General features: G+C 56.2%; 2 protein-coding genes across 5 annotated transcripts in view, besides 2 other annotated features; one reads left to right on the top strand and one right to left on the bottom strand.

Annotated features, from left to right (window-relative positions):
- Window positions 1–4,700, bottom strand: part of KCNQ1 (potassium voltage-gated channel subfamily Q member 1) — a 404,098-nt gene extending 399,398 nt beyond the window's left edge. For all 4 annotated transcript variants that reach the window (NM_001406837.1, NM_000218.3, NM_001406836.1 and 1 more), the window contains exon 1: window positions 4,224–4,700. In NM_001406837.1, coding sequence (NP_001393766.1) covers window positions 4,224–4,247 — 24 coding nt within the window. In that variant the 5' untranslated portion in view covers window positions 4,248–4,700. The remainder of the gene's footprint in view (window positions 1–4,223) is intronic.
- Window positions 4,711–4,780: a silencer, noted in NCBI's record as "silent region_3070". NCBI's record gives its function as "represses an Ori minimal core promoter by ATAC-STARR-seq in GM12878 lymphoblastoid cells {active_cell/tissue: GM12878}" and the evidence as "EXISTENCE:reporter gene assay evidence [ECO:0000049][PMID:35858748]".
- Window positions 4,791–4,900: a silencer, noted in NCBI's record as "silent region_3069". NCBI's record gives its function as "represses an Ori minimal core promoter by ATAC-STARR-seq in GM12878 lymphoblastoid cells {active_cell/tissue: GM12878}" and the evidence as "EXISTENCE:reporter gene assay evidence [ECO:0000049][PMID:35858748]".
- The window catches only part of TRPM5 (transient receptor potential cation channel subfamily M member 5), a 40,524-nt gene continuing 31,566 nt past the window's right edge, over window positions 5,194–14,151 (top strand). Inside the window, exon 1 of the mRNA NM_014555.4 lies at window positions 5,194–5,277. The gene's annotated coding sequence lies outside the window, so the exon portion shown is untranslated. The remainder of the gene's footprint in view (window positions 5,278–14,151) is intronic.

Raw genomic sequence — 14,151 nt, 5'->3', positions numbered from 1 at the left:
GACACCCTCGGTGGGCACGGTGCTCCTGCCCATCTCAGCTGCCCCCAAAGGCACTCAGCTCCGCACAGCCTGTTTCCAGCTCTGGAGCACACATAGGGTGGGTTTGGAGCTGTTCACCCTTCCTGTCCTCTGCAAGACGTGCCACATGCCAGGATGGCACGTGGCAGAACTCATAGCAGCAGCTGACGTGCCAGCTCCCTGGCTCCAACCACCTGACCCCGCACTGGCCGGCCCAAAAGCATCCCAGGCCTTCAGGCCCAGCGGAAGTTCATCCCATCGGTACCCAGGAGTGTCCCCGCAAAGCCCCTCCCTCAGACCCGGCCCTGTGACACAACGCAGCCCGCACGTTATATGCAAAGGTTCCAGTACCTCGCAACTGCCAAGCAAAAAGGGACCCTCCTGCCCCCAGTACCCCAGGGTTGTAGGCTCAAGCTGCGGGCACCATGCCCACAGGGAGCTGTGGCTTCAGTGCCAGGCACGGGTGAATGTTCCCTCCAACCGAGGCACCCTGCACTGAAGGTGCCAGCACCAGGAGCCTGCCACAGAGAATGAGACGCAGACTCAGAAGGCCCAGGACCCTGGCCAAGGCAGCCCAGCCACAGGGCCATGCCCAGACACAAAGCCCTGCCACCTGATCCATGCCCACCAGGCACTGCCCAGGCCACCTGCAAGGACCCAAGTCCCTACCACCCTCCTGATCCCCTGTCCCCACACAGGCTGGGGAGGCCCTTTCTCCCAGGCTCTAGGCTCTTGCCACCTGGACTACCCCCTCCCCAGCTGACGGCCAGGGGTAAGGGATGCCTGTGTTCCCCCCAACTAGTACGAAGCCACAGTTAGGCACTCGACATGTTGGCAAGAGCGGATCTAGAAACACTGGGCCGGGTCTGCGATGTAGGTGAGGGGACCCCAGACAGCCAGGGGATGAGACCAAGGGCTCATGCCCCACAGAAGGTAGCACTGGGAAAAGCCCCAAAAGGAATTCCCAGTTTTCCTGGGAATCTAGGGCTGAGGAGTGGGTGGACAGATCTTAAAGAAGATGGAGAGAAAGAGACCTGATGGCTCAGAGAGCCCCGTCCTCCTCTGTGCCCAGCCCCACCACCTGCCTTGGCCTCTGGCCTCCCTGCCCAGCTGCAGAACAACTGCCCAGCAGCTGCTTCAGACTCCAATGCCAGAGCCTGGAGATAGGAGGGCACTGGAGTCCACAAAGTTGGGTGCTGCACCCTGAGAGCTGGCTCTGCATGGCCTTGTCTTTTGGGGAGGCAGCCAGATCAGCCCCATCCACCTCTGGGACCTGCTTCTGGCTCCATTGTTGATTAACACGCACCCGCGAGGGTTCTGCCAACACCCCTGGAAAGTTCTTGGGAAACAGGGAAAGCCAAGGCTGTAGGAGCGGGGAACAGGGGCTGCTGAGCCAGACTTAGGTTTGAGAGCCTACAGGGGCAGTCTCCATGCACTGCAGGTCCCCCCTCAAATCCCTCTCCTTGGCCACAACCAGGATCTCCAAGCATCTCAGCAACCAGAGTAGATGCCACCTGGATGTCCACACCCCTGGCTAAGGCTCACAGCAAGGGAGCTAGGACCGCTGGGTGCAGCAGGGCTGTATGGACCCCCATCCCCTCAGCTAAGATGGGAGCTGCCCCCAGTGGGGGCGCAAGCAACCACAGATAACTGGGGGTGTTGGGGGCAGGAAGCCTAAGCGGGCAAGAGTTGTGGCCCAGGTGCCGTGTCCACCCCGGCCAGCCCAGGGAGGCCAGAAGGAACACAGGAAGAGCTGCTCTCCTGGGGAGGGGGGGTTCCCCGAGGAGGGGACAGGATATCCTGGCTGGCTTCCCCAGGCGCACACAGGAGAGTTCGCCCTAGCCCTGTAGGGTCAGCGGAACACCGGCTCCTGCCTCAACCCCCCTGCACACATGCCTGGGCCCTGGCTCTTCAAGGCCAGGCTTGTCGTCTTCAGGCCAGAAACCACAATATTTCTCATTTCACAATCCACCTAAGGACAGGGCCCTGTCTCCGCCACCATTGCCAAGACTTCTTACAGCAACACAAGGCTGGACTGGCGCAAGGCTGGACCTGATTTCGTGAGGCTGCAGGTGGCCTCCAGCTACTCTGCCATCCTGGTTCTATGACCAGGTCTCCCCTCAAGAGACTGGTCCTGCCAACCTCCTAGGGCACTGAGGGTGGGAGCGCATCTCCCAGGCCCCCACCAAGCCACATGTCCTGCCCAGTCAGGGTCCACCTCCAGTCCCACCCCACATGGAGGTACCTGGGTTGGAGGCTGTTCATGACAACTTCCCAGGGCCAGGCACACGTCTTACAAGGACAGGACCCAGAACTGGAAAGGACCAGCCCCAGATCTGGCCACTTCACAGAAGCATCCCTTTCCTGGCCACCCCTTCACAGAAGCCATCCTGCCCCTGTCCCCAGAAGCCACCCCTGCCTTGCCAGCTCTGCGGAGGCTGGGCGAAGGTAGACTCTTGCTGAGCAAACTTCCGAGACCTAAACAATCCAAATGAGGAAGAAAACACAAGTGCAAGCAGAGACTTCCTCTGGGGCGTGGCGAGCCCTCTTCCTCCTCTTCCTCCACACGGGTGGCTGCAGTGAGCCCGGAGGCATGTGTCCACAAACCTGAATACAAGTGAGAATTGAGGGGGTCTGCGGGCACTTTGCCTTGGCCTCTGGCTGAGGAGGTCTTCCCACCCTTGGACATCTCAGAGAGTCTGGGGTCCGGGAGGCAGGTGGCCACCAGCACACAGCACCTGTGAACCTGGCATCTGCTAGACATTTGCACAGTGGCATCGGACTGGGTTCCCCTGGGGTCACTGCACACAAATATCTCCCAAACCCCAAGCCGAGCCCCCGCTGTTGCAGCCACGAGCAGAGCCAGCTCCTCTCACAGACCAGCAGCGGCTGTGGCTCAGGCACCCACTGACATGTCAGGAGACAGGGGCTTGGGAGCTGGGGTGGGGAAAAGTCTCCAAGATCACCCCCCAACCACATCTTTGAGGAGGGAGGTGGGTAAGACTTCCCCTTCCTGATGTGGAAGGCCACCTCTTAGCAAGGAAGGCAGTAGCCCTGCGACCCCTACCCCACCCCCTCACCTGAGACGATGCTTGAAGCCATTTGGGGCCTGGCTCCTGCTGTCACCCGCCCTGAGGCCCTGGTGGCAGCTGCCAGCAGGCATGGACAGGCCTCTGGATGCCCTCCAGCCAGTTCTCTACTGAGCCTGCCCGAGGCAGAGGAGATGCTTCCACCTGAGGACGCTCAGGGAGACCACCCTTCAGCCCTCAGGTGAGCCCCACAGCCATCAGCCATGGGATGTCTGGGTAGAGGCTCCCAGGCCAGAGGCTGGCACCACACCAAAAGGCCGCTGGCTGGGCAGCCAGGAAGTAGGGCCACTGGGGCAGCGGGGGAAGGCCCCAGGCAGGCATGGAGGAGAGCAGCCTGGACCTTCCCGGAGGTGACTTCCCAGGCCTGTCCCTGAGAAATCCAGTGCCCAGCCCTGCTCAGGCACGCTGTACCGGGAATTGGAACCACCTGGTAACAGGGGGGCCAGGTGCCTCTGCTACCAGCGCTGCTTTCTCCGGGAGCACAGCTGCCTCTTAGTGAGAGCTGCAAACGTGCCTCTCCGCTCTCTGCATCAAGCCAGGTTTTCATGAGCTTGGTTCAATTAGTTAATGTGGGGCCCGTGGGGACGGCCCGTGGCATGCTGAGCCCTCAGGGAGCACCGCCACCGTCACCTTCCTATCCTGGACAGCCCCCTGCCCCAGAGTCCACCTGGGCCTCAGGGGGTCTGAGATGCGGCACCGGACATCAGGGGCCTTCTCTCTTGGGGGCTCCTGAGCCTCGAGTCTCAGCCGACCTTGAGGAGTTATCTTACTGCACCCAAGGGTGCGCTCCCCAGCACGCTTCTCTTCCCAGAAGGATTCACACCTGGACTACCCTCCCGGAGGTGTGGAGCCAAATTCTGGGCTCCAGGTGGTCCCCTCCCCAGCCGGCTCCCTCCCCACGCCGGGCCTGCGAGAAGATGCGCACCCCCAGACACAGCAGCGCCTCTGAACTTCAAGGGAGAGTGCAGAGTTTGTGTTTCTGCGTTTCCCCACTTCCTTCCCTCCTCTGCTCCGGGGTCGCAGCTCCGACGGGGCAGGTGGCGCTGGGACAGAGCTCCCCCACACCAGCTCTCAGGAAGCACCTTCGTGCCGGCCGTCGCCGGTGGCGATACTCACACGGCGAAGTGGTAAACGAAGCATTTCCAGCCGGTGGGACGCTCGAGGAAGTTGTAGACGCGGCCCTGGACGTGGGTGCGCGCCAACACCGGGCGGCGCGTGCTGTAGATGGAGACGCGCGGGTCTAGGCTCACCGGCGGCCGCGGGCCAAGGTCGGAGGCAACTGGGGGCGCGGCGGGCGCGGCCGGGGACGCAGGGGGCGCGGGACCTGGGGCGCCGGGCGCGATGGGCGCGTAGAGCGCGCCGCCCGCCGGGCCGCCCTCCGCCAGCTCCAGCGAGAAGGGGCACTTCTTGGCCAGGCCCGCGCTGCCCCGCCGGGCGCCTGGCAGGCGGCCCCAACCCCAGCGCTTCCTCTCGGCCCTGGGCGGGGAGGAGGCCGCGGCCATAACGAGGAGGGCCTGCCGGGGGGCCGGCCCGAGCGGCGGCACCGGGAGCTGCAGCGAAGGCGAGCGCCCGGGCGCAGTGCGGGCAGCCACTGCTGCCAGCCCCGCCGCGGGGGGCCGCTGCCGGCCCAGCCCGGGCGCTCGGGGCGGGGCCGGAGGGGGCAGTGGCCGAGGGCCGGTCCCATGGGACGGCGTGCCCCGCCCCCGCCTGCACGCCCCGCCCCCGCCGGTCCGGCGCGCACAGGGCGTCCCTGCCCGCGCCCACCGGCTTGGCCCGCCCTCTCCCCACGGACCGGCCTGGCCCTGCCTCCGCCTCACCCCCTGGCTTGGCCTGTCCGCGCCCCCGCCCCCGCCTGCGCCCCCGCCCCCACCCCCACCCCCGCCCGAGCCCACCTGCTTAGCCCCGCTCGTGTCATCTATCCCGCTTGGCCCCGCCCCCTCCTCGCCCACCTGTTTGGCCCCGTTCCAGTGTGCATTTACCCCGCCTGGCCCCGCCCCCTCCCCGCCCACCTGCTTGGCCCCGCCCTCACCCACCTGCTTGGCCCCGCCCCGTCTGCATCTCCCCTGCTTGCTCCTGCCCTGCCCTCACCCACCTGCTTGGCCCCCACTTCTGATGCCCGCCTGCTCTGCCTGGCCCGGAGGAGGACCCCAGCTGCGCCAGGGAGGAAGGGGTAAGGCCTGGCCGATACCACGACCGAGAACGGCACAGCGGGGGCAGGAGGGGCGGGGTAGGGTGCCGGCATCTACTTTCCCTCCCTCTGAGCCACTCCGGAGTTGGGGTTGGGGGGAGGAAAGGGATGTCCTGGGTGAGGGTGTGCTGGCCCCGCGATCACTGTGAGCGCCCCCGGGTGCCCAGGCGCGCGAGCTGCGGGCGGCGAATACGCTCGGGTCGCTTCCCACCAGGGCCCTTGGACCGGGAGGGTGAGATGGGACCACCACTGTCAGGTACCTCCCAGTGGGAGCTGTGTGGGTGGGGAGCCGGCAGGGCTGCTGGGGGGTGGGGGCGGCACAGCCGGGGTCTGGACCTGGTTTGACTGCCGGGCATAGCAGGCGGGGCTGCCTGGGCAGTTAAAGGGAGAGGCGCTTGCGCCACCCTAGTAACTTGGAGAATGGGCGCCTTGTCCTCCCCACCGTCGAGACCGCGCTGCCGCTGCGCCCCGTGGATTCCCCTGGGTGGGGGTGGGTTGGTCACATCGGAAGATTTTCACAGGTCTCTGCACTGCCTCCCGCCCGCTACTGGCATTTGGGTCTCAGCACGTCTCAGGCTTGGGGGGGGGGTGGGGGGCAGCCAACAGAAGAGACCGGCTTTTTTCAGGATACTGCACACAGCCCTGAGGCAGGGACTAAAGGTGGAGCTCAGCGGTGACTCTCCGCCCCGCCAGGAGACCCATAACTCATGTGACACTTCCAGGTCGTCCCTGAGCACCCTGGGTCAATTTGATGTATCTACCACCCCCTGCCAAAAGTCTGCTCTTTTATCGTGGACGGAGTCCAGCCCAGGCCCTTGACGCCTGACTCCCCACCCTAGTGAGGTGCCACACAGGAGTGCACAGTCTGTATTTGCAGCAAGAGTGGATGGAGTGGGTCCCAGCTTGTGCTGGGCGCTGTGATAACACAAGGGAGGCCGAGGAGAGGGTACCTTCCTGGGAAGCATATCAGTGAAGGTGCAGAAGGGCAGCGGGTCAGAAGATGGGGGCAGTCAGTCAGCTCTGCAGGGCACACAGCACGCATTCAGCAGTTACTTTCCGGGTGAACATACATACACCTGCATGGAGTCTCTGCCTTCCCCTCCCACCTCAGCAGGAGGAAGGTGAGCTTTGAATAAGCAGCGTTTGGACAACTGGACAGTCATAAAGAAAGAAAAAGCATACCTTGGGTCCATCTCACCGCACACGAGAATAAATCTCAAATGAATCAGAGGCTCAAGTGTAAAGGGTGAGATGAAGCCATGCAAATTCTACAAGAATGTACAGGTCAATTCCTCAAGAACCTGTGAATCGGGAAAACATTTCCAACTATGACTTGAAATCCAAAAGCAACAGATAAAATAAGAAAAATTAAAATAGAAGCACCATTAGCAAAGTAAAGGAGACAAATGACCAAATGGGAAAAGTATTTGCAGTTTCGATCACAAAGGATTAATATCACTGATACATAAAGAACATCAAAACTGAGGTGAGGAACCTGCCAGACAGTCCTATAGAAAAGGGAGCAGAAGACATGAGCAGTTCATAGGAAATGGGGTTCATGACCTTTGCACTTATGAAAAAATGTTCAACCTCATTTATAACAAGAAAAATGCAAATGAAAAGTACACTCTGATACCACTGCTTGCTTATCAGATTGGCAAAAATCCAGACTTTTGATGGCAACTCTGTGGGAGAGGCAGCAGGCACAGGTGCACTCCTCATCACTGGTAGAAAAGAGACCTAGCGATATTACTAAATGTATCATTTGACACAGAAACCCCACTTCTAGGAAATAACCCAAAGATATGTAGGAAAAATAGAAAAGTACATATACATAATGATAGTCAAAACAGCATTTTTTATATTAGCAAAAGTCTAGAGACAATCACAATGTCCTTCAATCGCTTCAGCTGTGCTGTGGTACAGTCACACGATGGAGTGCCATGATCAATATGATCACTAATACTCAACCAAAGGATCCCAAAGAACTCTGTGTGTGTGTGTGTGTGTGTGTGTGTGTGTGTGTGTGTGTGTGTATCAAAGAATGATGCTAAATTCCTTTGGAACCAAGATTTTCAGTATAAAAGTGATACAGATTTAAAAAATCAAAGAAGTACAAACCAGTCCTTAAATTGAATGGACTATATTAGCATAGACTCCTCAGCTATTTTATCTTAGGAAAAAGGTATATCCTACTATTGTTCATTGTCAAGTTTGAGAAGGGGCTGATCAACAATGGGACAATTTGAGCATCAGAAAGAGTCATGGATGAAAACACATCAAATAGCTGAAAAGCCCATGCATTCATGATAATACTGAAAAATCCTATTTGATCTTCTGCAGGTTGCTTTGCTCATTATTCTGAAAACGAGTGAAAAGGCAGGGCGGTCAGGCAGGTCAAGCCTCCATATTTTAAAAATTCTAGGCCGGATGCAGTGGCTCACACCTGTAATCCCAGCACTTTGGGAGGCCGAGGCAGGCTGATCGCTTGAGGTCAGGAGTTTGAGACCAGCCTGGTCAACATGGTAAAACCCCGCCTCTACTGAAAATCCAAAATTAGCTGGGTGTGGTGGCACACACCTGTAATCCCACCTACTCAGGAGGCTGAGGCAGGAGAATCACTTGGACCCGGGAGGCAGAGGCTGCAGTGAGCTGAGATCGCACCACTGCACTCCAGCCTGGGTGACAAGAGCGAAACTCCATCTAAAAAAAAAAAATTCTAATAACTCACTAGGGAGGCTTCTTGGAGGCCCCCAGGGCTGTCTCCTGGGCCCTGAGCTGTGCCACAGCCTGCTGCTCTGGGGGTATGGGGTCCCATTGGCTTGGGGACACTGAGGCAGGAGAGAGACTGGACAAGGGATTGTCTTCAAGCTCCCTGCAAGCTCCAAGGAGCTGAAGGGGGATGGGTGGGGAACTGAGAGGAGGGAGTAAGGCCAGGTGCGCAGGTGAGGTAAGGTGGGGCTGGGCTGGGCTGGGTGTGGGCTCAGGTGAGGCCAAGGGCTGAGGGTGGGGGAGTAAGGGTGGATGGCCTGGTAGGACAGACAATACAAGTGGGGCCTGACCGAGCCCAGTGGCCACTCTCTGTGTGAGCAAGGAGGTGAGGAGGGCCCCCATCAGCTGAGGGAGCAGGACCGCAGGGTTGTAGCCTCCCAGCTGCCACCTGCTCTCTCCAGGACACACCCTCCACTGAGGAAAGCCCCTCCTCTATCATTCCGGTGGGTGCACATGTCCAGCCCTGGCTGTCCTAGATGCAAAGACTGACAGACCTATCAGCCAGCATGAACAGGAAGGCAACCCTCTCCCAGCCTCTCAGGCTCTCAGGCTGTCCCAGAGCCTCAGAACCTTCTGGAAACATGGCACTCAATCTACCTCACACCAACCTTCCAGGGCTGTTTGCCGACATCCCTCAGCTCACCAGGCTCACCTCATGTTCCTCCAGCAGGGTCAGAGGCCCACAGTGGGAGGAGCCTCAGAAGTCACCAAGAATGCATGAGGAATGGGGAAGCTGAGGCTGACCAAGGGAAGGGTGTGTGGCTGCTGTGAGATCAGCATCTGCGGGCCAGGGCTGGGCTGCTAGAACAGCCAGGCCACCACAGGCTTCCTGGCCAACATCCTCCTTCAGGTAGTCTTCCTACCTATTCATTCATTCAATCATTCGTTCATTCCCCCAGATCCTCGCAGAGCACCGGCTGAGTGCCAGGCGCTGTTCTAGGCGCAGGTTACAGAGCTGTCTCACCACCAGGTAGTGGTGGGACAAAAAAAACGAAGGGGGCACAGGATGGGGGTGCAGATTGTGGAGGGTGGTCAGCAAGGGTCCCAGGGGCGTCTCCACAGAGACCCTGGAGCAGGCCCTTCAGCAAATCTGGGAGGCATTTGCTGTTGGAGGAGGACTCTGCATGCAGGAGGCACCCAATGCAGAATGGATGGGAGGGTAGGAGATGGGGCAGGGTGGCTGGACAGAGCCACCACCCTGTATTCCTCAAGCTGATGTGTCTCTCCAGAGGATCCTTATGCCTGGCGAATGTCTCCTATGGATATGATGCCCTACATCTGTAAGGCATCACCCCATTTAAGGCCCTGCTGTTCTTTTTTAGATTCAGAGGGTATGTGTGCAGGTTTGTTACATAGGTATATTGCGTGATGCTGAGGTTTGGGGTATGGATGATCCCATCACCCAGATAGTGACAATGGTAGCCAATAGTTTTTCAACGCTTGCTCCCCCACCATCTACCAGTCCCCAGTGTCTATTGTTGTCCCTCTATGTCTATGAGCACCCATCATTTAGTTCCCACTTTCCCACTTATAAGTGAGAACATGTGGTATTTGGTTTTCCGTTCCTCAGTTAATTTGCTTAGGATAATGGTGTCCAGCTGGACCCATGTTGCTGCAGATGACATGGTTTTATTCTTTTTCATGGCTGCATAGTATTCCATGGTGTGTATATACCACATTTTCTTTACCCAGTCTACCACTGTTGGGCACCTTGGGTTAATTCCAGGTCTTTGTTATTGTGAATAGTGCTGCGATGAACATGGAAGTGCAGGTGTCTTTTTGGTAGAATGATTTTTCTTTTGTATATGTATCCAGGAATTAATGGAATTGCTGGGTCAAATGGAACTTCTGTTTTGAGTTCTTTGGGAAATCTCCAAACTGCTTTCCACAGTGGCTGGACTAATTTACATTCCCACCCACAGTGTATAAGCGTTCCCTGTTCTGCTCACTCTTGCCAGCATGTATTGTTTTTTGATATTTTAACAAAGGCCATTCTGACTGGTGTGAGATGGTATCTCACTATGGTTTTGATTTGCATTTCTCTAATGATTAGTGATGTTGAGCTTTCTTTTATATGCTTGTTGACCGCATGGATGTCTTCCTTTGAGAAGCATCTGTTCATCTCCTTTGAGCAATTTTTACGGGGTTATTTATTTTTTTCTTGTTGAATTGTTTGAGTTCCTTATAGATTCTGGATATTAGACCTTTGTCAGATGCATAGATGCAAATATTTTCTCCCATTCTGTAGGTTGTCTGTTTACTCTGTTGATAGTTTCTTTTGCTGTGCAGAAGCTCTTTAGCTTAATTAGGTCCCACTTGTCAATGTATATTTTTGTGGCAATGGCTTTTGAGAAATTAATCATAAATTCTTTCCCAGCGCTGATGTCCAGAATGGTATTTCCGATGTTTTCTCTTAGTAGTCTTATAGTTTGAGGTCTCGCATTTAAATCTTTAATCCATCTTGTGTCACTTGTGCATATGGTGAAAATTAGGGGTCCAGTTTCATTCTTCTGCATATGGCAAGCCAGCTGTCTCAGCACCATTTATTGAATATGGAGTCTTTTCCCCATTTCCTATTTTTGTTGACTTTGTTGAAGATCAGATTACTGTAGGTGTGTGGCTTTACTTCTGGGCTCTCTATTCTGTTCCATTGGTCTATGTGTCTATTTTTGTACCAGTACTATGCTGGTTTGGTTATAGTCGCCTTGAACATTAGTTTGAAGTCAGGTAATGTGATGCCTCTGGCTTTGTTCTTTTTGCTTAGGATTGCCTTGGCTATTCTGGCTCTTTTTTGGTTCCATATGAATTTTAGAGTAGTTTTTCTAATTCTGTGAAAAATGACGTTGGTAGTTTAATAGGAATAGCGCTTAATCTGTAGATTGCTTTGGACAATGTGACCATCTTAATGATGCTGATTCTTCCTATCCATGAGCATGGAATGTGTTTCCATTTGTGTCATCTGTAATTTTTTTTTAAGACAGGGTCTCACTCTGTCACCCAGGCTGGAGTGCAGTGACACAGTCCTGGTTCACTGCAGCCTCAACCTCCCAGGCTTAGGTGATCCTCCCACCTTAACCGCCCCAGTAGCTAGGACTACAGGCATATGCCACCATGCCTGGCTAATTTTTGTATTTTTTTGTAGAGTTGGGGTTTTCACCATATTGGCCAGGCTGGTCTCGAACTCCTGGATTCAAGTGATCCGCTCGCTTCAGCCTCCCAAAATGCTAGGATTACTGGTGTGAGCCACTGCATCCAGCCAATTTCTTTCAGGAGTGTTTCTCCTTGTGGAGATGCGTCATCTCCTGGGTTAGATGTATTCCTAGGTAATTTTTTTGTGTGGTGAGAGTGTACATCCTTGTCTTATTCCTATTCTTAAGGGGAATGCTTTTGCCAGCTTTTGCCCGTTCAATATGATGTTGACTGTGGGTTTGTCATAGACAGCTCTTATTATTTTGAGGTATGTTCCTTTGATGGCTAGTTTGTTGCAGGTTTTTATCATGAAGGGATGTTTGGATTTTTTCAAAGACTTTTTCTGAATCTATTGAGAGGACCATATGGTTTTTTTGTTCTGTTTATGTGACAAACCACATTTATTGATTTGCATATGTTGAACCAACCTTGCATCCCAGGAATGAAGTCTATTTGACTGTGGTGAATTAATTTTTTGATGTGTTTCTGGATTTGGTTTGCTAGTATTTGTTGAGGATTTTTATATTTACGTTCATCAGCAAGCCCCTGTTCTTGATCCTAACCCCACAGGCGGTTCCTGGTTCATCACTGCCTCACCTATTCCCTAACTACCTGCCCCCGCATGCTCATAAAGACCGGTCAGCTCAGACCCACCCCTACCAGCAGGTCTGGGAGGGGACCCCAGGGCAGTTGCCTGGGGGCTCTGTAAACAGCCTCTAATGCAGACCCAGTACAGTGGGGCTGGGTCGGCCCCAGGAATCTGCATTTTAGTGTACTCCCCTCTCTCCTGTGCAGGAGACCCTGAGGTTTGGAATGTCCTGAGGGTCCCCAAGTTTGGGCACCACAGCAGGACAGAGCCAGAACTAGCTCAGGGTCCTTCAGTTCTGCCTTGACATGGTCCTTCCTGATTGCAGGCTATGTCAGATGGTCACTCCACAGTCAGCACCGGCATTGACTGTGCCCCACACACTGCACAAGAGGCCTTGCCTTCCTGAATCCCACAGTGGTGCAGGACAGACACACCTTCATAGAGAAAGGCACCCCCCACCCAGAAGCAGGTCCACATGCACACTGAAGCCAGGGCTCCCCACCAAGGCAATTTTCTCACCTGTGAAATCAGGAGATGTAGGAGATGGGTGTGTCATGACCTGTCTCCCAATTCACAGCTTGGGTGTACCCCACCTCCTCCTCTTCCAAGACGACAAGCTGGGAACCAGCCAGGGAAGACTGAGGCTGTATGTGTGTCTGCCCACATGTGTGCAAGTATGTGTAGGTGTGCATGTGTGAAAGAGCCTTTTTGTCACCATGAAGGACCTGGGGATCCCCCATCCCTTCTCCTAAGACAGGCAGCCTTAAAGCAGCAGGATCCAGCAGGCTGGGAAAGGTGCACCCAGGACAGAAAGCAGTGGGGCAGAGTAGAGAGGTGGGGAGCTACACCCTGTGGGCTCATGGCTGGTGGCGGGGCCCTCCCTGAAGGTCACACACCCACACTCACTCCTCCCAGCCCAGGACCCAGGGTCTCGGCCCAGTGCCCAGGTGGGCGAGCGGGGTGCTTCTGGCTGCGTTCACTTTGATCTGAGGTTAGGTCATCTGATGTCACTGCAGACTCTCTGAGCTGGTCTCATGCTCCCTGTTCTGGGGAAGCTCCCAGATTCCCACCTGGGCCCAGCCCATCTGGCGGAAATCACTTCCGGAGACTGCTCCTGACACAGCATCGATTCTTGGAGTTGTCGGCATCACCTTGTGTGGGAGGTTGGCTTCAGCCAGGAGCACGGGCCCCTCTGCTGACCCTCCCGTCACTGGCCGCCAAGCTTCCCACCCCCAGTGGGAGTGCTGGGGACCAGCCCCACAATCTAAAGGTCTGAGGCCTCCCCAGCCCTGGCGGGGCCCCTGCCCAGGGCAGCAGCCTGCCACCTACACACATAGCCCTTTCCTGGGCCCAGGCAGGCCTGTCCGGGACGTGTGACAGGCCAGCCCCTCCCCTCCCTGGAGAGTGGTGGTGGCTGTCCTAGCCACTCAGAGAAGGAGGGCAAATGGGGGTGGGCAGCCTGTCCCTACATCCTTCCAGGCCAAGGTGGGCCACTACTGACCAGGGCACTCATCCGTCTTGCCAGACTGGTACAATGGTGTGGGGGGCTCACCCTCTGAAGCCCACCATGGCCCATCACGGGCTGGAGCCCAGAGCTGGCCCCGAGCTGAGAGTGGATGTGAGGTGGCGGCTGAGCAGATCACCCAAAGGCTGGCAGGGTTTGGGCAATGGGGCCAGGAGCTGAATGGGTGATCAGTAGGGGAGGAGGAGGTGGGATGACTCAGCCAGCCTGCCGGGATTTATTGGGCACCTACTGAATTCCCAGCCTTGCTGGGTTACGGTGTGGGGGAGGTCAGGGGAGCGGAAGGTGAGGCTCCTGGCCTCGAGGATAGTGACCTCTTCTGGGAGATACGCTGGCTGGGGAGAAACCACGAGAACTGCCTACGCTCTTGGGGTGCTCTGGCCAATCCCCCATGGCTACCTGCTGCCTGTTCCCCAGAGTGTGGGCATCCTGAGACCAGAGACTGACTCGCCATCCTGGAGAGACTAGGCACTGTGGAGAAGTTAGTAAGTGGTGAGTGGGTAACTGGAGAGAGGAGAAAACAGGTGGGTGAAGTGATGGACAGACGGGTAGAGAGATGGACAGATGGATGGATGGGTGGGTGGGTGGACAGATGGACAGTTTGATACATGGATACACAGATTGGTGGATGGATGGATGGATAGATGGACAGATGGACAGATGCACATGGACAGATGGATGAACAGACAGATGGATGCATGGATAGATTGGTGGATGGGTGGATGGATGGATGGATGGATGGATGGATGGATGGATGGACAGACAGATGGACGGATAGATGGAT

Source organism: Homo sapiens, chromosome 11 (assembly GCF_000001405.40).
Source record: "Homo sapiens chromosome 11, GRCh38.p14 Primary Assembly".
NCBI lineage: Eukaryota > Metazoa > Chordata > Mammalia > Primates > Hominidae > Homo > Homo sapiens.
The sequence above is the reverse complement of the archived record's forward strand: the minus strand, read 5'-3'. Positions and strand labels throughout refer to the sequence as shown.